This window comes from Homo sapiens, chromosome 3 (genome assembly GCF_000001405.40).
Source record: "Homo sapiens chromosome 3, GRCh38.p14 Primary Assembly".
Taxonomy (NCBI): domain Eukaryota; kingdom Metazoa; phylum Chordata; class Mammalia; order Primates; family Hominidae; genus Homo; species Homo sapiens.
This window is the reverse complement of record NC_000003.12, coordinates 194,079,867-194,105,825: the sequence shown is the minus strand read 5'-3', so window position 1 is coordinate 194,105,825 and position 25,959 is coordinate 194,079,867. Positions and strand designations below refer to the sequence as shown.

The 25,959-nt window shown below is 49.1% G+C and overlaps 1 protein-coding gene across 13 annotated transcripts in view, besides 4 other annotated features; it reads right to left on the bottom strand.

Annotated features, from left to right (window-relative positions):
* The window catches only part of LOC102724877 (uncharacterized), a 53,476-nt gene that overhangs the window by 17,649 nt on the left and 9,868 nt on the right, over positions 1–25,959 (bottom strand). For 7 of the 13 annotated variants that reach the window (XR_002959666.2, XR_002959664.2, XR_002959663.2 and 4 more), the window contains exon 4: positions 14,180–14,319. The exons of 1 other annotated variant lie outside the window; for it this stretch is intronic. Coding sequence is in view for 4 of the 12 variants with exons in the window: in XM_011513352.4 (XP_011511654.1) it covers positions 14,180–14,319 (140 nt within the window). In the remaining 8 variants the exon portion in view is untranslated. Of the gene's footprint in view, positions 1–13,012; positions 14,320–24,335; positions 24,449–25,959 lie in introns of those variants that run through there. 5 more of the 13 variants (XR_001741079.3, XR_001741077.3, XR_007096294.1 and 2 more) reach the window with 3 other exon arrangements.
* Positions 1,618–1,707: an enhancer, noted in NCBI's record as "active region_21014". NCBI's record gives its function as "activates an Ori minimal core promoter by ATAC-STARR-seq in GM12878 lymphoblastoid cells {active_cell/tissue: GM12878}" and the evidence as "EXISTENCE:reporter gene assay evidence [ECO:0000049][PMID:35858748]".
* Positions 4,600–4,889: an enhancer, noted in NCBI's record as "active region_21013". NCBI's record gives its function as "activates an Ori minimal core promoter by ATAC-STARR-seq in GM12878 lymphoblastoid cells {active_cell/tissue: GM12878}" and the evidence as "EXISTENCE:reporter gene assay evidence [ECO:0000049][PMID:35858748]".
* Positions 18,732–19,026: a silencer, noted in NCBI's record as "tiled region #14852; HepG2 Repressive non-DNase unmatched - State 23:Low". NCBI's record gives its function as "represses a minimal TATA promoter and a strong SV40 promoter by Sharpr-MPRA in HepG2 cells {active_cell/tissue: HepG2}" and the evidence as "EXISTENCE:reporter gene assay evidence [ECO:0000049][PMID:27701403]".
* Positions 21,177–21,226: an enhancer, noted in NCBI's record as "active region_21012". NCBI's record gives its function as "activates an Ori minimal core promoter by ATAC-STARR-seq in GM12878 lymphoblastoid cells {active_cell/tissue: GM12878}" and the evidence as "EXISTENCE:reporter gene assay evidence [ECO:0000049][PMID:35858748]".

Here is a 25,959-nt window from a genome sequence, read left to right as displayed (position 1 = left end):
ACAACTGTCCTTCGGCCCTTTACAGTTTGTAAAGTCCTTTAACATCCATTACATCACAAAATCCTCATGCCGACTCTACAAAGTGAACATAATTATCATCTCCATTTTACCCTTGAGGAACTAGACTCAGAGAGATCCGATGGTGAATCTGAGACTCACACCTGACTTTTTTGGCTACAAATTTTATCGTTACTCCCACTCCCTATTGTATGCTGTCTGAGTTGGGTAAGGAAACCAGTTTGACCAAAGCGGAGGGAAGCAGTTGCTCTGGAGAGAAGTGGAAAACTGCGGTGTTGAGCTGAGGCCAAACCAGACCCACAAGGTCCCTGAGAGCCGGGTGGTGCAGATTTTATGCAGGGGAAACCACTGAAGGCTTTTGAGCAAGGGTGTGACATAATACAAGTAGAGAGATCCACCGTGCTGAGCGCTAGTGTGCAGAGAGGATTGGGAAGTCCAAAGAGGGAAGATGGTAGCAGAGATGCCAGTGACGGAGCTTCTGGAAGGAGTCTGCATATCCAGATTAGATCGTTAGTATCCAGGATATGTTGGCTTCTTTTTTGGGATTCATCACTGTGCCATTGGAATTAGAACTGGAATTGGACATAACTGAAATATTCCATTCCTTTCATTCACCATCTTTATTAATGGGCCAGTATTGCAGAGATTTGGTCCACGTTATTTTCAGCATTTTTGCTACACCTGCATCTCAGGAGGCTTCTCTGGCCCCGCCTATAAACAAAATTATGATTAACACAATGAACTAACATGTCTTAGAGCTGGAGCTAACATCAATTGACTTTTATTATATTTACTAAATATTTACTGAGTACTCACCATGTGCCCAGCACTGTGCAAAGTTCCTCCGTTGGGAAAACAGAAGAGAATCGGCACAGAGCAGCTAGTTAAGCTGCTCATGGGAAGCGGACAGGAGAGGGGGCTGGGACTGAGGACTGTGGGGACAGGACACTGGTAGGAGGTTAGACAGGGACACAAAGCATGCACGAGAAGGAAACCAAGACTAGCTCCTTTTGGATGTCAGAAGGATTAGATGTGGATCCACCAGCAGCAGTTGAGTGTTCCCCTCTGAGGTTTGCTTTGTCTTGTACCAAAGGGTGTCCTGGAGACAGAAGCCCCTGGAGGAATCTGTTCTCAGAGCTCCTTTCTGCTCTGCTGTGGCTGGCCCTCTGCAACTGGCTGCTCCAGAGTAGTCAAGACTGCCTCCTCCTCAGCCCCAACACTCATATGTGCTCCCCTGGGGCTGCAGTGGAGGGTCCCACCCTCCACAGGGGAAGTCTGTGCTGTGAGGTGCAACAGGACACCTGGGTCCCAGTGACAGTGACTCACTGTGTGCCCTTGGGCAGTTTATTTCTTCTCTTTGGTTCCTTCCTCTTTCAGAATTGGAGCAGCTCCTTGTAGCTTTAAAGATTTGATGGTGGTTACTGCAGGCCTGCAATGTGTGCCTGTGTGTGTGTGTGTGTGTGAGTGTGTGTGTGTGTTAGACTTGCTGTTTAATAGGGTGCTAAGACAGCAGGTGGGCCGTCTTTCCCACCCCCCACCCCCACACGTGTGGCTCTCATTACTGTCAGAAGGCGTTAAGTCGGCCCCATGGAGATGAGAACAGACCCCTTAATTAGGCACCGTTCCCAGATCGCAGGAGGGACTGGCCTGGGCCTGGCTGCCCTGGCGTTGCGGGGAGCCCAGGCTGCAGGGCTGGAGGGGGCTGTGGGGGGCGGTTGCGGCCAGGGCATCTGAAGGACTCAGCAGGTTTACACTTCGCTGACCCGATGGATGAATGGGGCCCTGTCCACTCACATGGGAGCCTGGAATCTTCAATTATGGCAATTACATCAACAGGTCGGAAGGGCAGCACTTTCCACTGAAGAGGTTCAGTGCTTAAAAGAAAAATCCTAAAGCTACTATTTTTTATCTTTCTTTTTTTTTTTTTTTAAAGGGATTGGGTTGATAGAAGAAGACCCCCATCTCCAGTCTAATTGAGCCATGGGTAGGGAACAAAAGATGTGGCACGGATTTACGTAAGATCTGGCTGGCACGTGCTCACCCGCTTCTGGACTTTTGGCTTTTCTCTCGCTCAACTTTGTATTATAGTCCCTGCAGGTGCAGGTGTGTCACCCTCATCACCTTGCTGAGGACAGGATGTGGTACCTTCATCTGGGAATCCCCCTGACATGCAGAGCAGTAGATGGCAGTCTAGACAGTACTGAACCGGTATCAGAGGGTGCATTAGATCTTGGAGGAGTCGCTTTGTCTCTCAGGCCCTCAGTTTTCACCTCTGTGAAGTGGATATAAAGCTGTCTATCCATCCTCTTTCCTATGGTTTCAGAGACACCAGTTCCTGCTACGTACTCACTATACTAATTGGATCTTTTCTTCCTCTCGGCCACCCTGTTAGGTAGGTGAGACTGGCAATGTGGCCCCAGCACCAGCAGTATAATGTCACCTGGGGGTATGTTTGAAATGCAGAATCTCAGGCCCCATACCAGAGCTGCTGAATCAGTCTGAATCTTTCCAAGCTCCCCAGGAAATTCGTGTGCACATCGAGAAACACTTTGCTACACTGGAAATTTGCACACATTTAACCTAAGTTGAGTGAATGAGCGTCAGCCTGTCATATGCATGTCATCTGTTAAATGGGGATAGTAACAGTTGTCCTTTTCTATTGGAGGGATGCTTTGAGGATCAAGTAGTTTATAATTATAAAGGTATTTTATCCAGACACTGGCTAATTTATTCAACAAACTTTGCCGAATGGCTACAAGACAGGTTTGGGGTTTGCAAAATATATTCTCTCCTTAGAAATAATTTGAACTATTCTAGAAATCTGATGTTTAAAAGAGCTAAGTATAGTAAAACATGGCAAGTGCTGTCCAATAGCCACGCTTAAATTAGGGGATGATTAGAGAAAAAAACAAGTAACTGTGATTGTGAAGTTCAGGGCTGTGTAGGTTAAGGGAGGCTTCACTGAGGTGGTGGCACTGAGCTTATGTAGGAATGAATGAGGTAGAGAAGGTCCTTCTAGACAGAGAACAACATAAACAAAGGCTCTGAGGTATGGGGTGGAGGGATTGGGGTGGCTACTATTTCCAGGTGGCCTCATAACGTGACTAGTAAGTACAGACCTGAGAGGTCTTTGCTGCCTGCTTCGTTTATTTGGGGCTGATTGCCTGGGTCATTTTAGGTTTCAGTCCTGTGGTTGGAGCCGTCCGTCCAAAAGTCACTGCTGTGCTTACACTGCCAACCACCTAAGACTTTTGTTTGTTTGTTTGTTTTTATTCTTCATGTGCTCTGGTGGGGGAGGTTTACTGCCAGCAGCAATGTCCTACTTCCTAAGATTTTAACATCACTTCGAGTTAAGGAGGGGAAGTTGATTTCCAGGTAGGTCATTTTTTTTTTCAACCAGTTGGGAAGGCGAGTTGGCCCCTATAGGGACTGAGAAAATAAGAGATGGCCAGAGCCCTCGTCCAGCACCATCTGAGATCTGTCACTGCCTGCTCCCCTCTGGCTGCCTGAGCGTGTCCACAGCAGTGGTGGACACAGGCTTGGAGCATGTGGTGCTCAGCCAATGGGCAGACAACAGCAGTGGAGATGCCACTGAGGGCCCAGAGAAAAGGCACTTTGGTACATCTGGGAGAGGCCACTCCCTTCCTGAGCCAGCCAGGAGAGTGGGAGCTGTACCTCTTGAAAGCCATCATGATGTGGAGTCTCTGCCGGGTCACAGTGGGTGAGACCAAAAGTGAGGGTGGGTGGCACCCATAGGAGTACATGCAGAAGCAAAATCACTTCCTGGAATGGCTGTCTGAGCAGGCAGAGGGTGCAAACACAGCCCTGCACCTTAGGGAACCTTTAGTTGGATGTGAGGACTGTGCTCTCCCTTGCTTCTCCAGGCTGCGGAGGCATTGTGCTGCCTTCTTGCAATGCTGTAATGGTGAGGGAAGGGGACCCTGCACCTGGGGGTGTGGGAGGACAGCCTGAGGGTGGATGCTTAGTTCTGAGCTCCCAAACTAAAGCCAAGGACTTTGTCTTGCTTGTATTGGACAGCGCCCTTGGGTGCTGAGTTAATATTTTACCCAGCTTGCAAATAAGGGTTATCTGTTTGTCTCTGTAAAGGACACGGGGGCAAATGGCTTTCTGCACTACTGCTGTTGGTATGAGTGCTCATTCTCTTTGGGCAAAGGAAAGGAAAGAGATGGAGCCTTATCACTGCTCCTTTTTAGTTCATTGATGTAGGTGGCCAACTTTCTGAAAAATGGCCCCAGGGGACTGTGACCCTGGGTGGATCTTTACTCTGAACTTAGGAAGCAGCTTCATGCAGTAGAAATAACCTGAAGTTTGCAGTCAGCTAGGAGTGCATTCAAATTTCTCCACTTCCTAGTTGTGGTACTTAGGGAAGTACCTTCGCCTCTTAAAGCCTCAGTTTCCCCATCGGTACGGCAGGCATGAACTGCTCTCCTGGTTGGGTCGTGAGGTATGAAGGGGAGAGCGCAGTGGTATCTCCTGTGCTTGCTGGTTAGCTCTGAGTCTGGATGTGACACAGCTCTCAGTGGTCTAGAGATTGAGAATCGAAAAGCTTTCGGTTCATGAAAAACCATCTCAACGTCAGAGCTGGGGGCAAGCAGAGAAACCCAGGGTCAACCACTTCATCGGCCAGAAGAGGAAACTACACCTCGCCCTGCAGGTCCCCTGTGGCCACCACACCTGTCCTCAAACCTGCAAAAACACCACAGAATGGGGACTCCGGCACCCCCAGGCTTTCCGGACCTGTCCTCAGCATCCTCCTCCCCACCACCTGACCTGGCGCTTACTCTCCCAGCTCCATTTCGCCTTTGCTTTTGGACTTGGCCCTTGCTAGTTCCCAGCTCTGGCCTCAGGTCCACTCAGCAGTGACTCTGATCACATGCCCGGTGCCTTGCTGCTGGCTACCTCTGATGCACACACCCCGCATTGCAGTGGGGCCAGGACCTTAGTCCTTCAGAAGAAGGCTTTTCTCTCTCCCTTCTTCCCCTGGGTGATGTGTTGGTTTCTCTCCTTCCTCCCTCTCTCTCCTTTTTATTGCTTTTATAGTTATGGGGAGCAGTCTTTAAAGATTGTTGGTGAACACACCATACGCCTGCTTCATCAAGCAGTAGGTATCTGCCAGAAGAAAAAGGATGTCCTTGATGTGAAAAAATAAAAAAAGGGCTGTCAGCCCCTCCTTCGGTGGGCAGAGGGAAGACTCAGGCCAGCTCCTGATAGCAATGACTGAGTCCAGCTCCTCTAGACACTACGGAGTGTCTTGAAGAATTCATCTCCCTATCCCAGCCTTAGTTTCTTTTTTTTGTAAAATGGGGCAATCATGATTCCAATCCAGGCAACTTCATCGAGTTGCTGTTGGGACCACAGCAGGCACTGGATATGAAAACAATACATGGTAAAGCTACAAACCCCTGTGCACTCTACAGGGGTTGCTCATGGCCGTTTTCAGCTCCCTTCTGGGCTGAGGCCTGTCTATTTTCAACTGGATGGGTCTGAGTTGTGTGAAGTAGCTTCCTGTGAAGGCCCCTCAGTTTCCAGGACTGGAGAAGAACAGCAACTAGTTGCCTCTGATTCCCGCTCCCCAGCCCCTTCTCTCTGGACCGTGCCTTGTGGGCGGTGGGTGGTGGGGAGGCTCAAGGGATCCTCCAGCATCACTTTGCTGGGAGTGTGACTCTCCTGATGGCAAACACACCAGAACCGAGAGCCCCAACTCCCGGAATCCTCAGTTACAGGTGGCAGGGAGAGGTGGAGTCCAGGGAGAAGTGTGGGGCTTGCATGGGTGACATTGCATTCCTGGATAAGCAGGGAGAAAAGTCATAAAGGACAGCCATCCCTACTGTTCAGGTGTAACATGGCCACCAGTGGCACATGAATAAGGCATTTACATTCACCTCGAAGGTGCCAGGAGACTTGTCCAGACCTTCCTGAGGGAGCACAGCTCCAGTTTGGACATATTTACTAGTCTATTCATTTGTTCACAGATTTGTTTGACTATTTCTTCAGTCATGGCATATTTATCAAGTACTTACTATGTATCGGAGCCATGCTAAGGGTCCCGCATACATCTTGTCTTGTATTAGAATAGGTTAGGTAATGCTGTGGTAACAAACAACCTCAGAATCTCAGTGGCTGGAGGCAACAGGCATTTGTCTCTCACTGATGTTACATCCTCTGGACAGCTCTTCGGCAGAGGGATGTGCTGATGGCTGCCAATCCGAAGGGTGCTGTACCATCTGACGATGCCACCTTCTCAACACGGGAGCTGTTCTCTTTCCTGGCTGTTGCTGCGGCCAGGGAAGAGAGCACAGGAAATGTGCACCAACTCTGAAACGCTTCTGCCCGGAGGGGACACTCGTGACTTCTGCTCACATGTCATTGGCCAGAGGATGTCACATGGACATACCTAACTTCAAGCGGGACAGAGAAGTGTAATTCTTCCCTGGGATGGGAAAGGAAATATGGGAATGATGTGAACCCCACTAATCTCTATCCCATTGTAATCCCTACAACAAACTTGCCATGTGGTTATTATCCTGATTTGATACACGAAGAAACTGAGGATAAGCAACTCCTCCACACTCACACAGCTGGCAAGAGGGAGAGGTGGGATTTAACCTTGGGAAAGTCTGACTGCCAAGCTTTTGCTATTTCCTTGGTGTCGCCCTTTTCATGTTCACAAAATGGCTGTATCATAAGGCAGAAAAACTGCAGCTTATCAGTCAAAGAAGGATGGATAGCGTGTTGTGTAGTTTTAGAGGAGGAGAGATCACCTCCTGTTAGAGAAATCCGGGAAGACTTCACTGAGGTGGTAGCTCTTGCCTCTGGATCTTGAAGAATAGGACAGATTTGGACATTCAGAGATGCCAGTTCTTTCAATCTGTCAGTTATTCCTTCTGTGTGCAAGGTGGGTGGCTTCTGACGTCTGGAAAACCATTTGTAAAGTCCATTTAGTTCACGCTTTTAGTTTAGTCACACTCTTCCCTCACAAGAGAAGTCCTAGCGTGATGGTGAGAGGGAGGGGAAGTAGTTATGAACCGGGTTTCACCAAAGGAGCTTTCCTGGAAGAGGCCCTGGGGAGAAATCTGATGCAGTGGGTCGAATAAGAACGGGGTTTTCCTGCAGCTGTATTGCAGCCTTCATTCCTTTCTCCCTCCCTTCCTCTCCTCTTTCTTCTCCTTTCCCTTCCATTCCTGCGTCCCTCTCTCCGTCATTTCCTTAGTGCCTGCTGTCTGCCTGGGACAATGCTGAGTGCTGGGGCAGGGGAGGAGGCACACCCAGATTTTGGCTCCCTGGAACTCTCACACAGTTTAACGATGGGAGGGATAAGGTTGCAGGGCCCCAGAGCCCCAGTGTTTGCCTAGAAACTCAAGAAGAAACCTCCAGTGAGAGGCAGAGTGACCCATTGAGGGGTGTGGGTCACTTGAGGAAAAAAAAAAAAAGAAAAGAAGCCAGCCACACAGAGAACAGAGTCCCCACTGCCCTGTGGTCAGTGAGCACTGCTCCCTAGCTTGGGCCGGACAGCTGGCCCCTCTGGGCTCACTCAGGCCGACTGCACCTGGCCTTGCTCACAGCTGTGCTCCTCTGAGCTGGCCCACACCAGCCAGCAACCAGTTCTTGTCAATGCAGCTAGAGCAGACTGTGGCTGCCTCCCTGATTCTCCTCCACCTCTTCTCCCCAACCCAGGGAGAACTTGCAGTCTGGGGACAGAATCTGTACATCAGGGATGGTTTTGACAAACTAAGGAGGGAGAGGAGCTGGAAGACATCCTTGCACCCATGCTGAGGCTTGGCTGTACACGTTTCCCTTCCAGGATTCACAGGCTGCCAGCAAAGGGCTTAAGATTTCAGCTCTGCGGAAACTATGATCAAGTGCCTTTTTGGGGTCCAGGGATGAATGCACCCCTATTTAACTGTGTCTGTGTATCTTCTACCTTTAGATCCATTTTCCTATTCACAGGACCAGAGTATTTCAGCGCTAGGAGTGATCTCACAGGGTTTTTAGGCCAGTGGTTGCTAAACCTGATTGTCCTCCAGGAAGCCTTTAAAAATACACATTCCTAGGCTCTGAGCCCAGAAGTTCTGACTCCGTAGGTCTGGCCCTTGTCCCTTCCAGTTATTGATTCTGCAGGTCCCACGCTCAGAGGGGGTAGTCCCCCGGGGCCAAGGAAGCCGGGGGAGTGTGTCAGTCGCTTTTGCTTGGCGACCACCTTTCCTCGTGTGAATTTATTGTTCTCATTAAGGAGATGGGTCCCAAAACGTGCTGAGAGGACCAACACTTGTTTATTGTGCTCTGTGAGTATTTGTGGGCTCCCTGAATGCAGGTCTGGGTTTCCGTGCTGGCTCGGTTCCATTTCATCAAGGAGAAGGAGCCCTTCCCAGGGGCGGATGAGCATTGTTTTCAAGCCACGGTTGCCCTCCCAAGGCTTCCCTGGAGCCAGGGGAGCTCATCAGCCAGAAAGGTGCTCACCAGAGCTCAAGTCTGCCCTGGCTGCCTGATGGAGAGGAGGGGCTGCAGGGGAACGCTGCTGACCTACACACACACACCACACACACACACACACACACACACCAGGCCTGGCTGAAGAACATGCTGTCTCCTGGAGGAACTGAGAACCTGGGCATTTCTCTGGGAAATCACCTTTCATTTCCAAATTCCAAGAAGTGCTTCCAAAAAAGATAATAGTTTTGCTGTGTGTCCAAGAGTTTGCTTGTGCAGGATCTCATGTGCTCTTTGCAGCTGCCCTGGTAGGTGGAGAGGACAGGGCTTATCCTTTTTGTGCTCTAACTGAGCAAACTGAGCTTGGAAAGGGCATCTGATTCTGAGTATTTAGCACTAAAGGGCTATGCTGTGTGAAATGTACCCTCAAATTCTTCAGAAAAGAATTCTGTATGTGTGTGGAGTGGGAGAGTGCATGCAGGCACACACGATGGATAAAGCAAATGGGGTAAAATGGGAGCAACAGTGAATCATCTGGGTAAAAAATATACAGGTGTTCTTTGTACTATTTTTATTTTTGTAATTTTTTGAAATGTAAAATGTATTTCCAAATAAAACAATGTTAAGGGGGTGTGGTTTATTCAAGGACATGGAGCAGGTTCCTTGTCTGTGGAAGGCCCACTTGTCACTTCTTACCATCTCTAGATTGATATATTTCTTTTTTTTTTTTTGAGATGGAGGTTTGCTCTTGTTGCTCAGGCCGGAGTGCAGTGGCGTGATCTCGGTTCACTGCAACCTCCGCCTCCTGGGCTCAAGTGATTCTTCTGCCTCAGCCTCCTGAGTAGCTGGGATTACAGGCGCATGCCACCACGCCTGGCTAATTTTCATATTTTTAGTAGGGACAGGGTTTCACCATGCTGGCCAGGCTGGCCTCGAACTCCTGACCTCAGGTGATCCACCGGCCTGGGCCTCCCAAAGTGCTGGGATTACAGGTGTGAGCCACTGCACTCGGCCGATTGATACATTTCTTAGTCTCAAACGCCAGTTCCTTTGCTCCACCTTCCCTGGCCTCTTACACTAGATCGTGTGCCCCAATTGCATGTACTTTTCCTTCCACTTATCCCTACGGGTGGGACTGAATTATTTAAAATTTAATGTCAATTTATCCTGCTGGACTATAAGCTCTATGAGGGCAGGACCTCTACCGTCTTGCTCCTGGCTGTATCCCAAGGGCGTAGCACAGTGACTGGAATATAGTAGGTGCTCAGTGAACGTCTTCCGAAGGAGTTAATGAATGGAGTGAATGCATGCCAGTGCACGGGCCGCAGATGCTCACAGGGGGACACACACATGCACACGTGCTCGTGCTCTATTTTCTTAGTGAGATTGCTCTGCCACAGGCAGGCTGGGGATGCCAAAATTTGGAGGACAGCTGGCAGGGTGGCATCATGCCTCTGGAAATGACATTCTGGGAACAACTGACATCCTTTGGGAAGCTAGAATGATGCCCCTTCCCAGCCAGTGCTCCCCTCTCCTCCCCACCTCAGGCCCAGAGGCTCTTCCGGGGGAGAAATGATGCTCTTGCAGCAGGTGGCAAAGGGATCCCAGGGCCAGTGGGCTGTCAGTGGGGGCAGGGATGCTGTGTGGAAACTGCTGCCTTTCCGGAAACAAAAGGGCCCTTTAGAGTCACTTGATATCATGTCTTCCTGTCTGGGCCTCTGCCAAGCCTCCCTCTTCCTACTGTGGAACAGCAGGCACAACAGCGACCTGACCTGTGCCTGCTCCTCCTGGGGCACTGCTGGGGAGCCAGGGCAAGCACCGAGCAGGAACAGAGGTGCCTGGGCAGGCTACACATGCCAAGGTGTGCCCATTAACTGAAGTTCTGATTTTAATTTTTGAGTGATACATCCACATATTCACAATTCAAAAAGTGTAAACTACATGCTATGAAAAGTCTTCCTCCCAACCTGCCCTCCATCCATCCAGTTTCCCCTGCCAATGTTCTCAGTTTCTTAAGAATCCTACAGATAGTCGGTGCATGTACCGCCAAATATGCGTATTTCCTGCAGTGGTAGAATTCCATATACCCTGTTTGTATCTTGCCTTTTTCACTTTATGATATGTCTTGGCGCTCTTTCTATGGGTCCATAAAAGAGTGTCCTTGGTTTTTTGGTGTTTGGCTACATAGTATTCCATGGTGTCAATGTTTCATATGTCTAAGGAACATTTTATGGGAACCTTTTGTTCCTGTACGAAGTGAAGAGTATTGAGGAGTGATAGTTAGAGATGCCAAAAACCCGAGGCCTGCACTATCCAGTACAGTAACACCTGTCTCCATAAGGCTACTGAGCACTTAAAATGTGGCTAACCAGGCTGGGTGTGGTGGCTCACACCTGTATTCCCAGTACTTTGGGAGATAAAAGGGGGTGGATCACCTGAGGCCAGGAGTTAAAGACCAGCCTGGGCAACATGGTGAAACCCTGTCTCTACTAAAAATACAAAAATTAGCTGGGTGTGGTGGCGTGCACCTGTAGTCCCAGCTACTCGGGAGGCTGAGGCAGGAATTGCTTGAACCTAGGAGACGGAGGTTGCAGTGAGCCAATATCACACCATTGCACTCCAGCCTGGGGGACAGAGCAAAACTCTGTCTCAAAAAAAAAAAAAAGGCTAACTGAATGGAGTCATGCCCTAAAGGCAAAATAGGCACTGGGTTTTGAAGATTTAGTTCAAAAATATAAAATATCTTATTAATTAATAATTGTTATATTATTACAAGTTGGAATGATAATATTTGGAATATATTGGTTAAATAAAATATATCATTGAAATGAATTTCACATGTTCCTATTTCATTTGTTTTAAATGTGGCCAGTAGGAAATGCAAAACGCCCATGTGGCTTGCATTTCTGGCCAGCATATTTCTTTTCTGAGACGGAGTCTCACTCTGTCACCCAGGCTGGAGTGCAGTGGCTGCGATTTCAGCTCACTGCAACATTTGCCTCCCCAGTTCAAGCAATTTTCCTGCCTCAGCCTCTCGAGTAGCTGAGATTACAGGCACATGCCATCATGCCTGGCTAATTTTTGTATTTTTAGTAGAGACGGGGTTTCACCATCTTGGCCAGGCTGGTCTTGAACTCCTGACCTTGTGATCCACCTGCCTCAGCCTCCCAAAGTGCTGAGATTACAGGCATGAGCCACTGCGCCCGGCCTGTGGCCAGCATATTTCTATTGGACCATATTTCCCTAGAGACTTGGAGCCCAGGGATGAGCTGACTGTGGGAGGGGTTAAACAGAGCAGGAAGGGAGAAGACAGAAAACCAGGAAGGAGGCGGCAGCGGTGGCCTGGCCATGCTCAGCAGGCCGGCTGTTGGGAGGACTAGGTCCCCGCCTGCCTCACACTGCCACGCAGGGGGATCCCAGGACCAGCCCCCTTCCTTCTCAGCCTCATTTCCTCTTGTGTGCAAGACAATCAATAGGAGTAGAGGCTGTGGCCTTCAGGGCTTCTGCTGTGTCCACGCCTCTGTCCCTACGACATGGTGCACAGAGTCGGTGCTCGCCGGGTGAATGAAGGAAAGTAGAAAAAGAAATGGAAAATTCGAGGTTTTCTTTCCGGGAAAGCATTAGACTCCATCTAAGTACCAGGACTTAGAGGCTCCTAAAGCTCCTAGGCTGCCTCTCACTACGAAGCCAAGCTTCCCAATGCAGGAATGACTTGCCCAAGGTCACTTTGGGTGTGGATGGCAGAACCAGGGCCACCTATAGTTTTTTCACTCCTGTGATCAAAGAACCACCCAGAAAAAAATGCTGTTACAGATTGGCATCCACTCTTGGAAATGCCCACTCGAAGGGCCACATCAACCCTCCTCCCCTCCCACCCCCTTTAAGGGTACATTATGACATTTCTGTGCAGCCCGTCCTGCTCCCATGGGGCAGAAAGCCTGAGGAAGGATGGGCCCAACAGCAACCCAGCAACCCAGGGGTTCAGCATTTTCCAAGGCCCTTGCTCCACCCGAGAGCCCTAGGCAGAGGCCTGGTCATCTCCCTCCGCCTCCAGGCTCAAGGGCCCCTCTTTCACCCCAGGACAAGGACTAGCCGGCAGGCTGGACTCAGTGGTGGGCAGTCTCTAAATCACTCATGCAGAGGTGGGAGAGGCCGCGGCGGTGGGGGGGATTTTCATAGATTATACTGAAAGAATGACAATGGTGAGGGAAAGGGGCCGGTTCCCACAGTGTCCAGTCACTCCTGTGAGGGGCTGCGGGAGCCAGGCCTGGCCGCCTCTTTCTCTCTGGGCAGCAGCACACACAGTTTTTAATAATTAAGTAACTTTAATTGTCCTGGGAAAGCCGAGCTCGCCTTGGGGCACAGTGCACAAACTCATAATTAATGTTACCAAGAGAGGTTAGCAAAGGAGAACTGAGAAATGATTCACTTTTTAAAAAGCGCCTCACTGTTAAGCCTTATTATCTGAAGTTTGGAACCTCATTTATCTGCTTTGAGGAAGAAGAAAAAAAAAAAAAACGACCCAAGACCCAGAAACAAATGCATGTGAAATTAAAACTCCATGCCTTTTAATGCAGTTAAAAAACATCAGAGAGGAAAATGTTGCCATTTATCGATTCCACCCTGGTGACTGAGGGAAGATTTCAGACAGAGGAATATAATTAATAAATAATAATAATACATTAATAAAAACTCAAGCTTTTTACTGCTATCTTGTTGCTTAGAAGTTATTTCATTTTAGGATTCTATAGAGTAACTTTTCCTCTTTAGTTCTTACGAGACATATACCAAACTCTGTGTAATTTTCAATGATTATTCATACGCAGTGACGCTAGGAAAGGGTCTTGCATGCAGGTGTTCAGTAAACATCTGATTAATTAATAAGCACATCAATAAGAGGGAAGAACCTCAAAAAGGAAAGAGTGTCCCAGCATAAACATGCGTGGTCAATATGAAGGCAAGCCCAGTCCGTCCTGGGAGACGTTTGCGATGGTGACAAAGGGAGGGTGGACAGAAAAATGGGGAATAAGGGCCTGGCACAGTGACTGTAATCCCAGCACTTTGGGAGGCCGAGGTGGGCAGATCACCTGAGGTCAGGCGTTCAAGACCAGCCTGGCCAACATGCTGAATGAAACCCTGCCTCTACAAAAAAAAAAAAAAAAAAAAAAAAAAAACCAGAAAAAAAAAAATAGCCAGGCATGGTGGTGCGTGCCGGTAATCCCTGCTACTCAGGAGGCTGAGGCAGGAAAATCACTTGAATCCAGGAGGCGGAGGTTGCAGTGAGCCAAGATCGTGCCATTGCACTCCAGCCTGGGTGACAGAGGAAGACTCTGTCTCAAAAAAAAAAAAAAAAAAAGAAAGAAAAAAAGAAAAATGGGGAATTAAAATATGGTGGTGGTGATATGGCTGGGAGGGGTGGTGGGAGGGAAAAGCCTTGAAACTTAGGAGAGGGTGTCAGAGCAAGAGAGTGAAACAAAGCAAAGAACTTGGGCCGAGTGTGATCCTCATGTATCATTAATAGCCCATAAATAGTATTACCTGATTGATTACCCTAAATTAGTGAGTGTGTTTCCTTAGGACGTCCTAGTGTCCCCACAGCACTGCCCTGTTCTTTCTTCCATTCAGACAGACGACAAATCTTTATATCCTAAATCATGAGAGTCCCAGTTTTTCCAAGCACCATAGTAGATTTTCCTCCATTTAGTCAACTCACATTGAGTGGATGCTGCTACGAGTAGTTCCAGATGCCAGTTGACATGGACATGGATGGAAACAGCTGGAATGCAGGCAGGACACTTTGGCTCTAAACCGAGGTACATAATTCCCTTCTTCTCTCTGAGCCTGTTTCCTGGTCTGTAAGATGGAAACGTGTGCATAGATGTGAACTCCTTGGGAGGTGAAAAATGATATTAGGAGTTCCTGAAGCAACTTTTCTAGGTGACTCATGGGATGGTGGAAGGACTCAGTCCTACCCAGAGGCTCTGTTCTCACCACAGGTCGACCAGATACAGCTCAGATGGCCCCTCCTCCCTGGGGTTGGAGTAGGAGCTGGGGAGCAGTTTGTGCCCTGAAGCCATCTGGAGGGTGGGTGAGCAATCAGGCCCTCTCCTGAGATCTTTGCTGTTCCCTGGGTGTGAGTTAATACCCAAGGAGAGGCTGGTGGGTAAATAATGAGGTGGTGGCTGATTGAGCTCAAGGTGTGATTCCTCTCAGGGGTCTTTATGTGTGAACAGACAACTCACAAAGAATGAAAGCTTTAAGACACGGAGGCATGAAGCATTTTCTTTCTGGGGCTGTCCGTTTGTGACCTCAGGCAAGCTTCGAAGCTGGGCCTCCATTGTCTGACACTAGGGGAAGGGGGAGTAGGGGGTACCAAGGGGCCTCTCCCAGAGCTTTGCCTGCGCAGAGGTTCCTGAGCACCTGGACACTCAGGCATGGAGATGCACTGGGGTGGAGGAGGGGTACAGGGAAACGGGGCTGGCCAGGCTCAGTGGCCACAAGTTAGAGGCACTCATGGAAGCTCGACTCAGGGCACGGGTTGGAAAATGCACTCTGATAATAACTCGCATGGCTAGTGCCAGCCCTTGCACTCCTTTGGAACACTAGGTGTTATGGAGTGTGTGTGTGTCCCTCCTTCACACAGTAGTGCACCATACGTACTGTCTCCATAAGTTGCTTTCTTGCTCTTAAAAACCATTTAAGAGCATTTTGGGAGGCTGAGGCAGGTGGATCACCTGAGGTCAGGAGTTCGAGACCAGCCTGGCCAACATGGCGAAACCCCATCTCTACTAAAAATACAAAAATTAGCTGGGCGTGGTGGAGCACGCCTGTAATCACAGCTACTCGGGAGGCTGAGGCAGAGAATAGCTTGAACCCGGGAAGCGGAGGTTGCAGTGAGCCAAGATCACGCCATTGCACTCCAGCCTGGGTGACAAGAGCAAAACTCCATCTCAAAAGAAAAAAAAAAAAGAAAGAAAACAAACAACAACAACAACAGCAATAAAAAGCGTATCCTGGAGACAGCTCCATATCAGAATGTAAAGTGGTAACAATCTTTTTTAGATGGATGGTTAGCATTTCATTTTATTTGACCACAATTTTCTAAAGTACTTGCTGCTGCTGGACGTCGGGTAGTTTTTACTACGTTGCCATTCACAGTCTAGCCTTTAACATTACCTGCATTACCTATTGATGTAATTTGGTGCAGTGAAAATTGCTGGGGACAAAAAAACTGAGATGAAATTCTATCCTAAATCTGTTTGAATTAGGTTTGACTCTAGGCAAGTGTCACTGCCTTTGTGGGCCTCAGTTTTAGCACCTGTCATATAGGGACATAAGACTCCATCTAGTACCGGGTGTCCCTCCCAGGATGTCTGTCTCTGACCCCTTGAGCCTCCCCGAACCCCAGAAGCAGCGGAGCAGCCCACAGAGGGTCAGCCCCAGCTGGGGCTGTGGGTGAGGTCAGTGGAGCTCGGTGGCTGGGTAAGCCTCTCCGTCGCAGATCTCGGTGATGCAATGTTGCACTCCAGCAAGTTTGGCCTTGCCCTCCCCTGGATCCAGCGTGACTCAGGGCCTGTAGCGTGGCTTCCCCCGCAGCAAATGAGCTGCAAGACACCTTTCTTGGCAATGGGCTTAACGAGGGCTCCCGGAATGTCTGATTACTCATCTGTTTTGCAACGGCAGCAAACTCCCAGTGAGAAGAGGCAGCTAGCGTGGCTTCCTTCCTGAATTAATGACTTAAGCATTATGAATGACTAATCAGTTCAGCCCCGAGCAGAACCGGGTGGTTAAGTTGGGGTTGGGGGTGGCAGTGAGGCAGATGCTGCTGGTGTGGGGTGTGCTTTCACCTCTGCTTGAATGCTTCTGGGCCTTGATGCTCTCCTTTTGGGGGTCAGAATTGGGGCCGGACGTCCCAAGACACTGACCTCCCCCTTCTCCTAAGGCCTGTCTACCTGCCACTCCTCACTGTCAGCTGATGGCAAGCTTCCCTTCCAGTCTTAGCTTGGGTCATGCAGAAGGAAATCTAAATGCTTATAGGGAAATCGCAGAATGAAACCCAGGGTGAGAGGGCCAAATGCATTTTGTATGCTATACTCTGCTGTGTACCTAAGAGGGATTTTTGAAATTAGTCTTATTTTATTTTAATTAATTAATTTATTCATTTTGGGACGGAGTTTCACTCTGTCTCCCAGGCTGGAGTGAAGTGACGCAATCTCGGCTCACTGCAACCTCCGCCTCCCAGGTTGAAGTGATTCTCCTGCCTCAGCCTCCTGAGTAGCTGGGACTGCAGGTGTGCGCCACCATGCCCTAATTTTTGTATTTTTAGTAGAGACGGGGTTTCACCATGTTAGCCAGGCTGGTTTCGATCTCCTGACCTCAGGCAATCCGCCCACCTCAGCTTCCCAAAGTGCTGGGATTACAGGCTTGAGCCACCCTGCCCAGCTGAAATTAGTCTTTTACTGGGAGAAAGGCATAAAGGTGGTGGGTAGCTTTCTTTTTTTGCCACACGTTTGGGATAAGAACTACAGATCAAGAACTTTAAGGAATTTTGCATCTCTTCTCTGGCTGGTTTCTTCGCCCCTCTTATCTCAGACAGCTTATTGCAGACTCTAGGATTAGTGGGGAGCAGGAGGGAATGTGTCCCCTTTAAGGCAAAGTCTCTGGTTTCACTTCCCAAACATCTGCCTCGCTCTTGGGGAGGTCCTCTCTGACTGGCTCTGAGCATATAAAGTTAATTTGTGTGGGGATTCCTGGAGAAAGGCCAACTAGAGTGAATTTTTGATGATTCTGTCTTAAGAGATGATTTCCACAAAGGCCAGGTCTATCCCCATCTCTTAGGTTGGGAAGCTGATGACCTTGTAAGCAACAAGGCCCTTCCGATGAGATGAACTTTGCTACCATTGTTGCAAAGAAAGTTTTCCTGCCTCCCTCCATTTCTTTTCTCAAGGTTCCCCTTTCGGGTCTGCCCCAGCCCGGCCCTCTGCTTTCCAGCAATCAGGCGACAATTCTTTGTGGTGCTTGAGAGCATGTCCAGATGATCACTGTGCAGTGCAAGTCTCACCTGGGCCTCACGCCGCTGGCCTCCCCTGGTCCCTATCCCAGAGGCCCTGACACAAGCTCCTTTGTTCTGGGCACTGGGTCCTGCCAGGCGTTCCCTCCTCTTGGCCCAGGCTCAGGTGGAGAGCTCTCCCCATGTCCCTAGCTCCTCAGAGAAGAGGGTCCTTTCCTGTTGGCTCCTTCCCCATGGCTCCACTTGGAAACTGCTCTCCTGATGGACACGCAGGATGTGCTGCCTCAGCCTGTGCCATTTTGGGCTTGGCCCACAGGAAGTTCTCTGAGCATCCAGGCTGTCCTGGACCACCTGTCTTCACCACCACGCACTGGGCCTTGCCTCTGGGGTTGGTATTGAGATGCTTTCATGGCTCCACCGTGGTCAGTCCACTCACACTCACCGTGGGCTCTCTGAATTTCCTGCGCTTCCCATCGTATCTCCTTTCCAGGACTTTGTGGGCTTACGTGCCCTCTCGAGGTTGAAGGGAATCGCCATTTAATACAGGGCTCTGGCCAACACAAACATTCAGTTGTTGAATGGATGCATGGGTGCATGGCTGTGATCTTGGGCATGCCCACATTGTCTTAAGAACTTTAAAATTGCCTTTTGCTACATCTGCCTGGACCAGCCCCTCCATCCTCAATCGCCTTCCTGGGCACAGGTTCGCTTTCTTTGGAACAATGGGAGCAAAGTTCATCTCATCAGAGGGCCCTTACTGCTTACAAGTTCATCAGCTTCCCAACCTGAGAGACGAGAATAGAGTCGGCCTTTGTGGAAATCATCTTTTAAGACAGAAACTTTAATGATTCAGAACAAGTCGCCCTAGTTGGCTTTTCTCCAGGAATTCTTTCATAAATTTACTTTTAATGCTCAGAGCAGATCAGAGAGGACCTCCCCAAGAGTGAGGCAGACCTTTGGGAAGCAGGCCTTCCCAAATATGAGGTAAAATGTATTTTTTCTCTTCCAAATTCAGAGTCTCTTAGCATCTGGATAAGCCTAAGTCCTAGTGTAAAATGCTCCAAGAGATAAACCCTGTGTTTCTCTCCTCTGCCGAGTGCCTCTCTGGGCCTTGGGCTTTTGCCCCTTTCCCCATTTACTATCCTCCAATCCACAGCCTAGGGGAGCACAGGCTCGGCTCTTAGTGCAGAAATCATGCCTTTTTAAGTAGAGCACCAACATGTCTATTTCTGGAGACTAGAGACAAAGCTAATGCACCGTCCACTTTAAGATCAACAATCTATTTGACTAAAGAGGATATTTTCTTTTCTGTTCTTTACCCTATCACCTTCCTCTGGGTGCTTTTCACACTAAGTGCCTGAAATCACAGGGCATGGGCAGTATTTTTCTCTTTAGAAATCCTTTTCAGGCAACTATGTCAAGAATGTTTTCCTACTTTGGGCTGGATGGGAGGGGGGCAGAAGAAAGAGGATTAATCCCCCAACATGGGTATTTCTCTGAAAACAGACATGCAAATGTTGGGCTTGTCAGACTCTAAAATGTTTTCTTTATTCTTGAGAATTACGGCATCCTGCCTGCTGAGCCTGGGAGGCCTGACAAACTGAGCACCGGCACCACGGTAGCAAAGCAGCAGAGTGTGGGAAAGGGAGGCAGAGGCACGCGGTGGGTAATCGGGACAGTGAGGGACAACCGCCTTCCACATCAAGCCACCCCTCCTTGGCACCGTTAGGTTGTAGCTTCCCTTCCAGGAACTGGAGATGGGGAACAGCGAACTGTCAGATACCAGTTCACAGACATGCTCATGATCACTCTGTAGGTTGGGGACCAGCTGGTATCACTTGGATCCTCGGGCCAGCTGGCTGAAGCTTATTCCTGCCAACTTGAGTATAACAATGGAGCCCTCGAGAGACTGTCTTGCATGGGATAGCCATCTGAGACTTCTGGCCGGGACTCTGTAGGGGTCTCCTCCACCAAGCGACTGGGATGGGTGAGGGGGTTGGATTTAGCAAGTGCTTCCCAAGAGCTGCTAAATAATTGCAAAGTTCCTCCCTGGGTCTTGCTATGGGGGCCTCCTAAGACCCGCTGTCCCTAGGCGATGAGTTCACAGCTTTGTGGGAGAGAGAGACAAGAGAACATGCAGCTAACAACCTGGGCTAACTGCAAAAAGAGAAGCGCAAACATTCTCCTCACCCTCCACCACCCCCGAATATGGTCAAAACATTTATACCAGGTGAGAGCATAGTATAAATATGTTACTGCATCTGCAGTGCTAGAGAAGAGCCATTTAATTTTTTTTTTTTTTTTTTTAGTTTTTGGTTTCTTACCCTTAACCCGAAAGGATGGAAACGGAACAGGAGGTGACCTGCCCTGCATGACTGAGGGTGCTTGCATTAGGCACAGGGTTTCACTGTGGGTGCAAGAGGAACCATGGAAGGGCTGCTCTCTGCCCCATCCCTGGATTATTGTTGTGAGGATCAAGTCGAATAGGGGTTATGCTTAGTTTTGTATGTTATAAATCAATAAGTAACTAAAACATAATATTATTTTCTTGATAATTGCAGGCTTGAGAGCTCAAAAGATGTTTTCAATTTATTGCGTACCTGTGTTCCCAGGCTATCTAAGGACTTCCCACATGTTAGACCCAACTAAAATCCAAGCTTGATGAGAGCAGGGAGTTAGCCTTCTGCCAGGAGTTAGCCTTGTGCCAGTCACATAGTGAGACTTCAATAATTTTTTTTTAATGGTAGAAAAAATGATTTCTAATCCTGACTGCCCCCTAGGGCATTAGCCTTGCTGTACAGATGGGAGTATGGAGGCTCAGAAAGGTTGAGTGACCTGCTCTAGGTCTCACCACTAGCTAGTCGGTGAGTTGGGGTAGGAGCTCAGTCCCTCTGTCTGTGAAGCTCAGGCTCTTCCCATGATGCCCAAGCTGACCTGGAGCTTTACTGAGCTTAGTTGTCCTTGACAGAGCAGGCTGCTGTGCCAGGATCATGTGGGATCCTAGGGACAGTTTCAGGGACAAGCAGGTTCTCCCTTCCTGGCTCCAAGGACAGTGTAAAAAGTCAGCCCTGATTAACCTTGTAAATCATGAGCTCTTCTTTTCAAAGAAAGGCAGGACAGTATCTGTGGCAGGCAGAATAATGGTAACTCAAAGACATCCACATCCTAATCCCTACAACCAATGAATATGTTATGTTATGTTATTGGCAAAAAGGAATTAAGGTTGCAGGAAGAATTAAGTTGGCTAATCAGCTGACCTCGAGATGGGGAAACTATCCTGGATTATTAAGGTGGCCCAGTGTAATCACAAGGGTCCTTATAATAAAAGAGGGAGGCAGAAGAGGCAGAGTGATGTAATGTGAGAAAGACTCAAGTGGTCATTGCTGGCTTTGAAGATAGAGAAAGGGGCCACAAACCAAGAAATGCAGGCAGCTTCTAGACGCTGGAAAAGGCAATAAAACAGATTCTCTCCTGGATCCTCCAGAAAGGAAATACCGCCTGGCCAATACCTTGATTTTAGCGCAGTGAGACCTGTATTGGACTTCTGACCCCAGTACTGTAGAATAATAATATACTAATATTGTTTGAAGCCACTGATTTTCTGGTAATTTCTTAGAGCAGCAATCAGAAACTAATACAGATTTTGGCAAGCAGCAGGCCTCAAGCAGGCTTAGCCTGTGCCCTGGACTCCAGGGAGAGACATGGTAGAAGCAGACACAACACTCCAAAGCTTTCTGGAAAGCTCCTCTTCAGACTGCCTCTTACTCCAGCCAGAATACAGAACCCAGGGGGTCACATGCTTTGAGCAGCTTCACAGATGTGCAGTGGCAGCACCTTAACCTGGGCCCACACCGCATACCTCTCACTTCCTGTCCTGGACCACAGCCTTGTGATACTGACACTTATCACTCTGCATCCTAGAACTGTGCAGGGTTATCCCCCACGGAGCTACCCTTGACCAACAGAGGACAGGAACCTATGGCTAAATGCTTCCCTCTTTCCACTGTCGGGTGGGCAGTTCTCAGATGCGTTCCACACGTTCTTTAGAAGTTCCCAAGGAATTGAGCACTAGTTTCTCCTGTGGAAGCTGCATTAGGAATGCATCTTTTTATTGGTTCTCCCCTCTTTCTGGTTTCACTCTTAAACTGTAACTCACTCCTGCTCCTTGGGGTCACCACCTGAATCAACACCACCTGTATGTGAACCTTTGCCTCCAGCCCTACTTTAGGCGGAAGCTGTGCTTGAATACAACAGCTGCTCTTCTAGTATTTGCCTGAAACTATATCCCCCCCACCGCCCCCCATCCATTCTCACATTGCTGTGGGGAGCTCACAAGGGGTTCTGGTGGCAGTGAGCCCTGGGGCTTGTGAAGAGCTGCACGTCCCTGAACGAGCTTCCGTCCTGAGGTCTTGGCTGAGGGCTCAGAGGAGACTTGCTGGTCTAGTTCAAGATGGTTGGATAAGATCCCAAGGGGTAGTTTTGAGGCTCATGGGAACATCAAGAGTCCTGGTTGCTTAGTCACCCAAGTCCCCCGACTCTGATGTGCCTCTCTCAGAGCACACCCATACTTCTCTCAGAGCAGTGTGCCTATCATTCAGAACAGATGCTTTCTGATGAACTTGATTGCATCATTAGCAGCCAGGCTACAAAATGGGTGATTTGAGAGCTGCTGGGCAGCAGGGAGCCTCCTGGCCCTTGGCTGGGCAGCAGGGAGCCTCCTGGCCCTTGGCTGGGCAGCAGGGAGCCTCCTGGCCCTTGGCTGGGAAGCAGGGAGCCTCCTGGCCCTTGGCTGGGCAGCTGTTCCCAGGACTGGCTGAACATGCCTGTGTGGTGGGCTCTTACCCTGCCCGCTCCCTGGGCCGGCCTCTTGAATCCTGAGGCTTTCTCACCAGCCGTGCCCAGAACAGATGGGAACAGAGCTCTTGGGCATCTCCAGCTGATGTGGATTTCACAGCGGGCGGAAGAGAGTGAGGGGAGCAGACAGCCTAGCCCTTCCCACAGCCACTTGGGAGGCCACACTGGTTGTCCAGCTGTCCACCCTCACTCCTTGTGAAAGGGGTAGGACTGGGGGATCTATTGCAGGTGGCAGGGAAAAGGACTAGAAATACAAAATGTTCCAGTTCTTACAGTTTTTAAACCTGAGCTCCACGGAGCTTGGGGGTGGTGGGGTGGGCGCAGGACGAGGTAGCGGGGACCGTTAGCATTAGCGCTTTGGCCAGAGCAGAGCTTCTTCCCAGCTTCATTGTACAGCAATGCTGCTGTGTAAAAGGCTGGACTCGTCACTATCCCCAGACACCTCCTCTCCTTCCCCCCACTTCCTGCCCGCCGGCCTCTGCTCTTTGCTCTCATCCCAGTCTCCTTACTGCACAGGCACATCCGCCCGATCCCTCTAGGCCTGGCTCAGATGCTCCACTTTCTCCAGGAAGCTGTCCCCTCCTGCTTCCTCCCCTACTAATTTTAGCAGTGACCCATCCCTTTTCTCCGCAGTTTCCAAGGGCTCCATCTGCATTGCTCAAGTGGAACAGATCACTTTATGTCTGGAGTTATAATTACTTCTGTACTTGGTCATTTCTCACACTGTGTTGGTTCCTCCTTAGAGCAGAGACGGACTCTTTCTTGGTCCCATAGTTCCCATGGGAAGTACTTGGTAAAATATCTTTTTTGGTTTTTTAAAAAATCTTTAATGAGTGCATGTGAAAAAGCTGATGTCAAAAGCTGCTGCTTTCAAAGATCCTAGTTTAGTTAGCTCAGGCTGTTGTAACAAAATATCCTAGCTTAAACAGCAAACATTTATTTCTGAAGGTTCTGGAGGCAAGAAAGTCCCAGATCAAGGTGCTAATTTGGTGTTTGAGGAGGGGTCTCTTTCTGGTTTGCAGAAAGCTGCCTTCTCACTGTATCCTCACATAGCAGAGAGATATGGTCTCTTCCTCGTCTTATAGGAACACTCATCCTATCACGGGAGCTCTAGCCTCACGAACTCATTTAAACCTAGCTACCTCCCAAAGGCCCCGCCTGCAAATGCCATCACACTGGGGATTAGGCTTCAACATATGAGGGGGACATAAACATTCAGTCCATAGGAGACCCCATCTTATGATCATAACAACCTCTGAATTAAATGTTGGGGATTTGGTTCAAAACAACCCTCTTTTGAGCACCTGCTCTGTGACTGGCATTCAGCTGGGAATTGCAGGGAGGGAGGTATTCAGTGATAGGTAAAGCCAGTCTCTGTCCCCTGGGAGCTCACAGTCTAGCAAAGCTGCTGTGCACAAGCCTTGTCATCAGTGCTAGGGTGGGGGCTACTCAGGGGCTTGCATGCCAGCGTGCACTGGAGGGGGAGACGCATCCCTGTGGGGGCATGAGCGGCTACGTCGGGGTAGGCTCTGCCACCAACTCTGGGCAGGTGCTAATAGACTTTGAAAATACAGTCCTGGGTGGTCTCCAAGTGACAGTTAAGAGGCCTCTTCCTCCTTTTAGTTGGTTTATCTATTATCTTATTTAGATTTTTCAAGGCTTTATCAAGTCACCAAATACTTTAGGTTTTACACATTTTTTTAGGTGAAGAATTTAGAGCTATGCTGTTTAACACGGTGGCAACCAGACACATGCAGCCGTTTAAATTTGTTTAAATTAATTAGAGTGTAATAAAATGAATTCAATTCTTCAGCGGCAGTAACCATAGCCATATTCCAAGTGCCCTGTAGCCACCTAGCAACCCTAGGGCTGGTAATACTTGCCCTTTTGTCCCTCAAGCCACTGTGAGAACAAATGAACGGGTTTTAAGCTAGCCAGAAGAAAAAGTGGCCAAGAGGCCAAGGTAATAATGATCTTTTTGTACCTAGGGAAAGCCTATCCTTACCCAGGATGGGTCACACTAACTGGTGCCTCTTCCTCATGTAGAGGTTGCAAAGGAAGCCCAGGTTTTTGGGAGCCAGCTTCCTGGGTCCAGCCCGATGCTATAAAACACAGCACCTATCCAATGAGCGAGAGAGAACACCAAGATAAGCTTTGCCTTAGTTATAAACATATATTGTGATAGTAAATTTATATTGTACTTTTCCTCTAGATAAGTGGAATTCCCCTTTCCCATTTACTAGTATCTTTATCCTTCTGATATTCCAAGAGTGAGTGACAGGGGCCTCTTTGCTGTGACAGCCAATGCAACGTACAGGGTGTTCTGCACATGTGCCACGTGCATATAACACCCCTGCTGTACCATGTGGAGAATGTCACTCATCTCAGGGTATTGGAGTGCCACACTGACAGTCACTATATACACCAGCCCCCATGCTGAGGGCCAGGTGGCAGACCCAGGAGGAAGACCTCAGTGTGTGACATCATCCATTCCTTCCCTCAAACTTTATTGGTGTGTACACCCTGTCACTGTCCTAGTAGTAAGCATAGAGAGATGATAGAACTGTGTTCTTGCCCTCCAGGAGTAAAATTTGTTACCAAGGACTCAGGAAAGGGACTGGTTTGCTGAAATAAAACTCTCAGGTTTATGCGAAAGTGATTCACTGAGGCACCCCGTGAGAACAAGCTTCCTTCTCCCTGCTGTATCATTAAAGTCAGATGTTGGCTTAATAAACATTCACCGAGCACCTCTTGTGTGGGGCCCAGGCTTGCTGCTGGCCCTGGGAGGGATGTCGGGATAATCAGTGAGGGCTGTGGGCCAGGGAGTTCCCAGTCCATGGCGGACATGTGGCTTGCATTCATTTGCAAAGCAGACTGCGCTCAACTCTCTGAGTTGAGCCCCACAGACAAGTGCCACAGGGAAAGGATGCAGACTCGCCAAAGAACCATCAGGGTCAGAGCTGGCAAAGTGCCTTTAGAGGTTCCCTCTCTCCAGTGGGTTGGTCCGACCTTCTCTGAGTGGCCTTGGTTGCTGGTATTTCATAGGCATGGGTGGGGAGGCCACTTCTGCTCACCTGGAACTCTATGTTCCTCTGTTTTCTGGGTAGGGTCAGAAGAAAAAACTGTTTCTGATGGTCTCAGTGAATGCCAGCCCTGGAAAAGTCTCCAGAGCGGGTTTAGTCCAATTTCCCTCATTTAGGGAAACTGAGGCCCTTGGAAGGAAGGCGGCCCCCTTTAAAGCCCCATGCAGCCAAGCATTGACTCAGCCTGTCATGTAGACCCCAGGCTTTGCATTCATGTCCTTAAGGTATCCGAAGAAGAACAGAGAGGGCGGGGTGCCCTGCTGCCTACACCACATTCACAGAGATAATCTGTCAAGGGAAGGAAGAAAAAAACTCAACGGCGAACAAGCCGTCTATTCTTGTCTGCGCCATTTTCCCATGTCAGGGGCAGACTGTACTGAAAAATTTAGGTTTCTCCTTTCATGTTTCCTTTCACTGCACTCTGGACAAAATGCCTTTCTTCTCCCGCTTTTCTTTGGCAGGATCCTGACCACCGCTGTAGAAAAAGAATCTTTTAAGAACATATATATCTATCTATCGATATACATTCAGCCCCTGACAGTGACA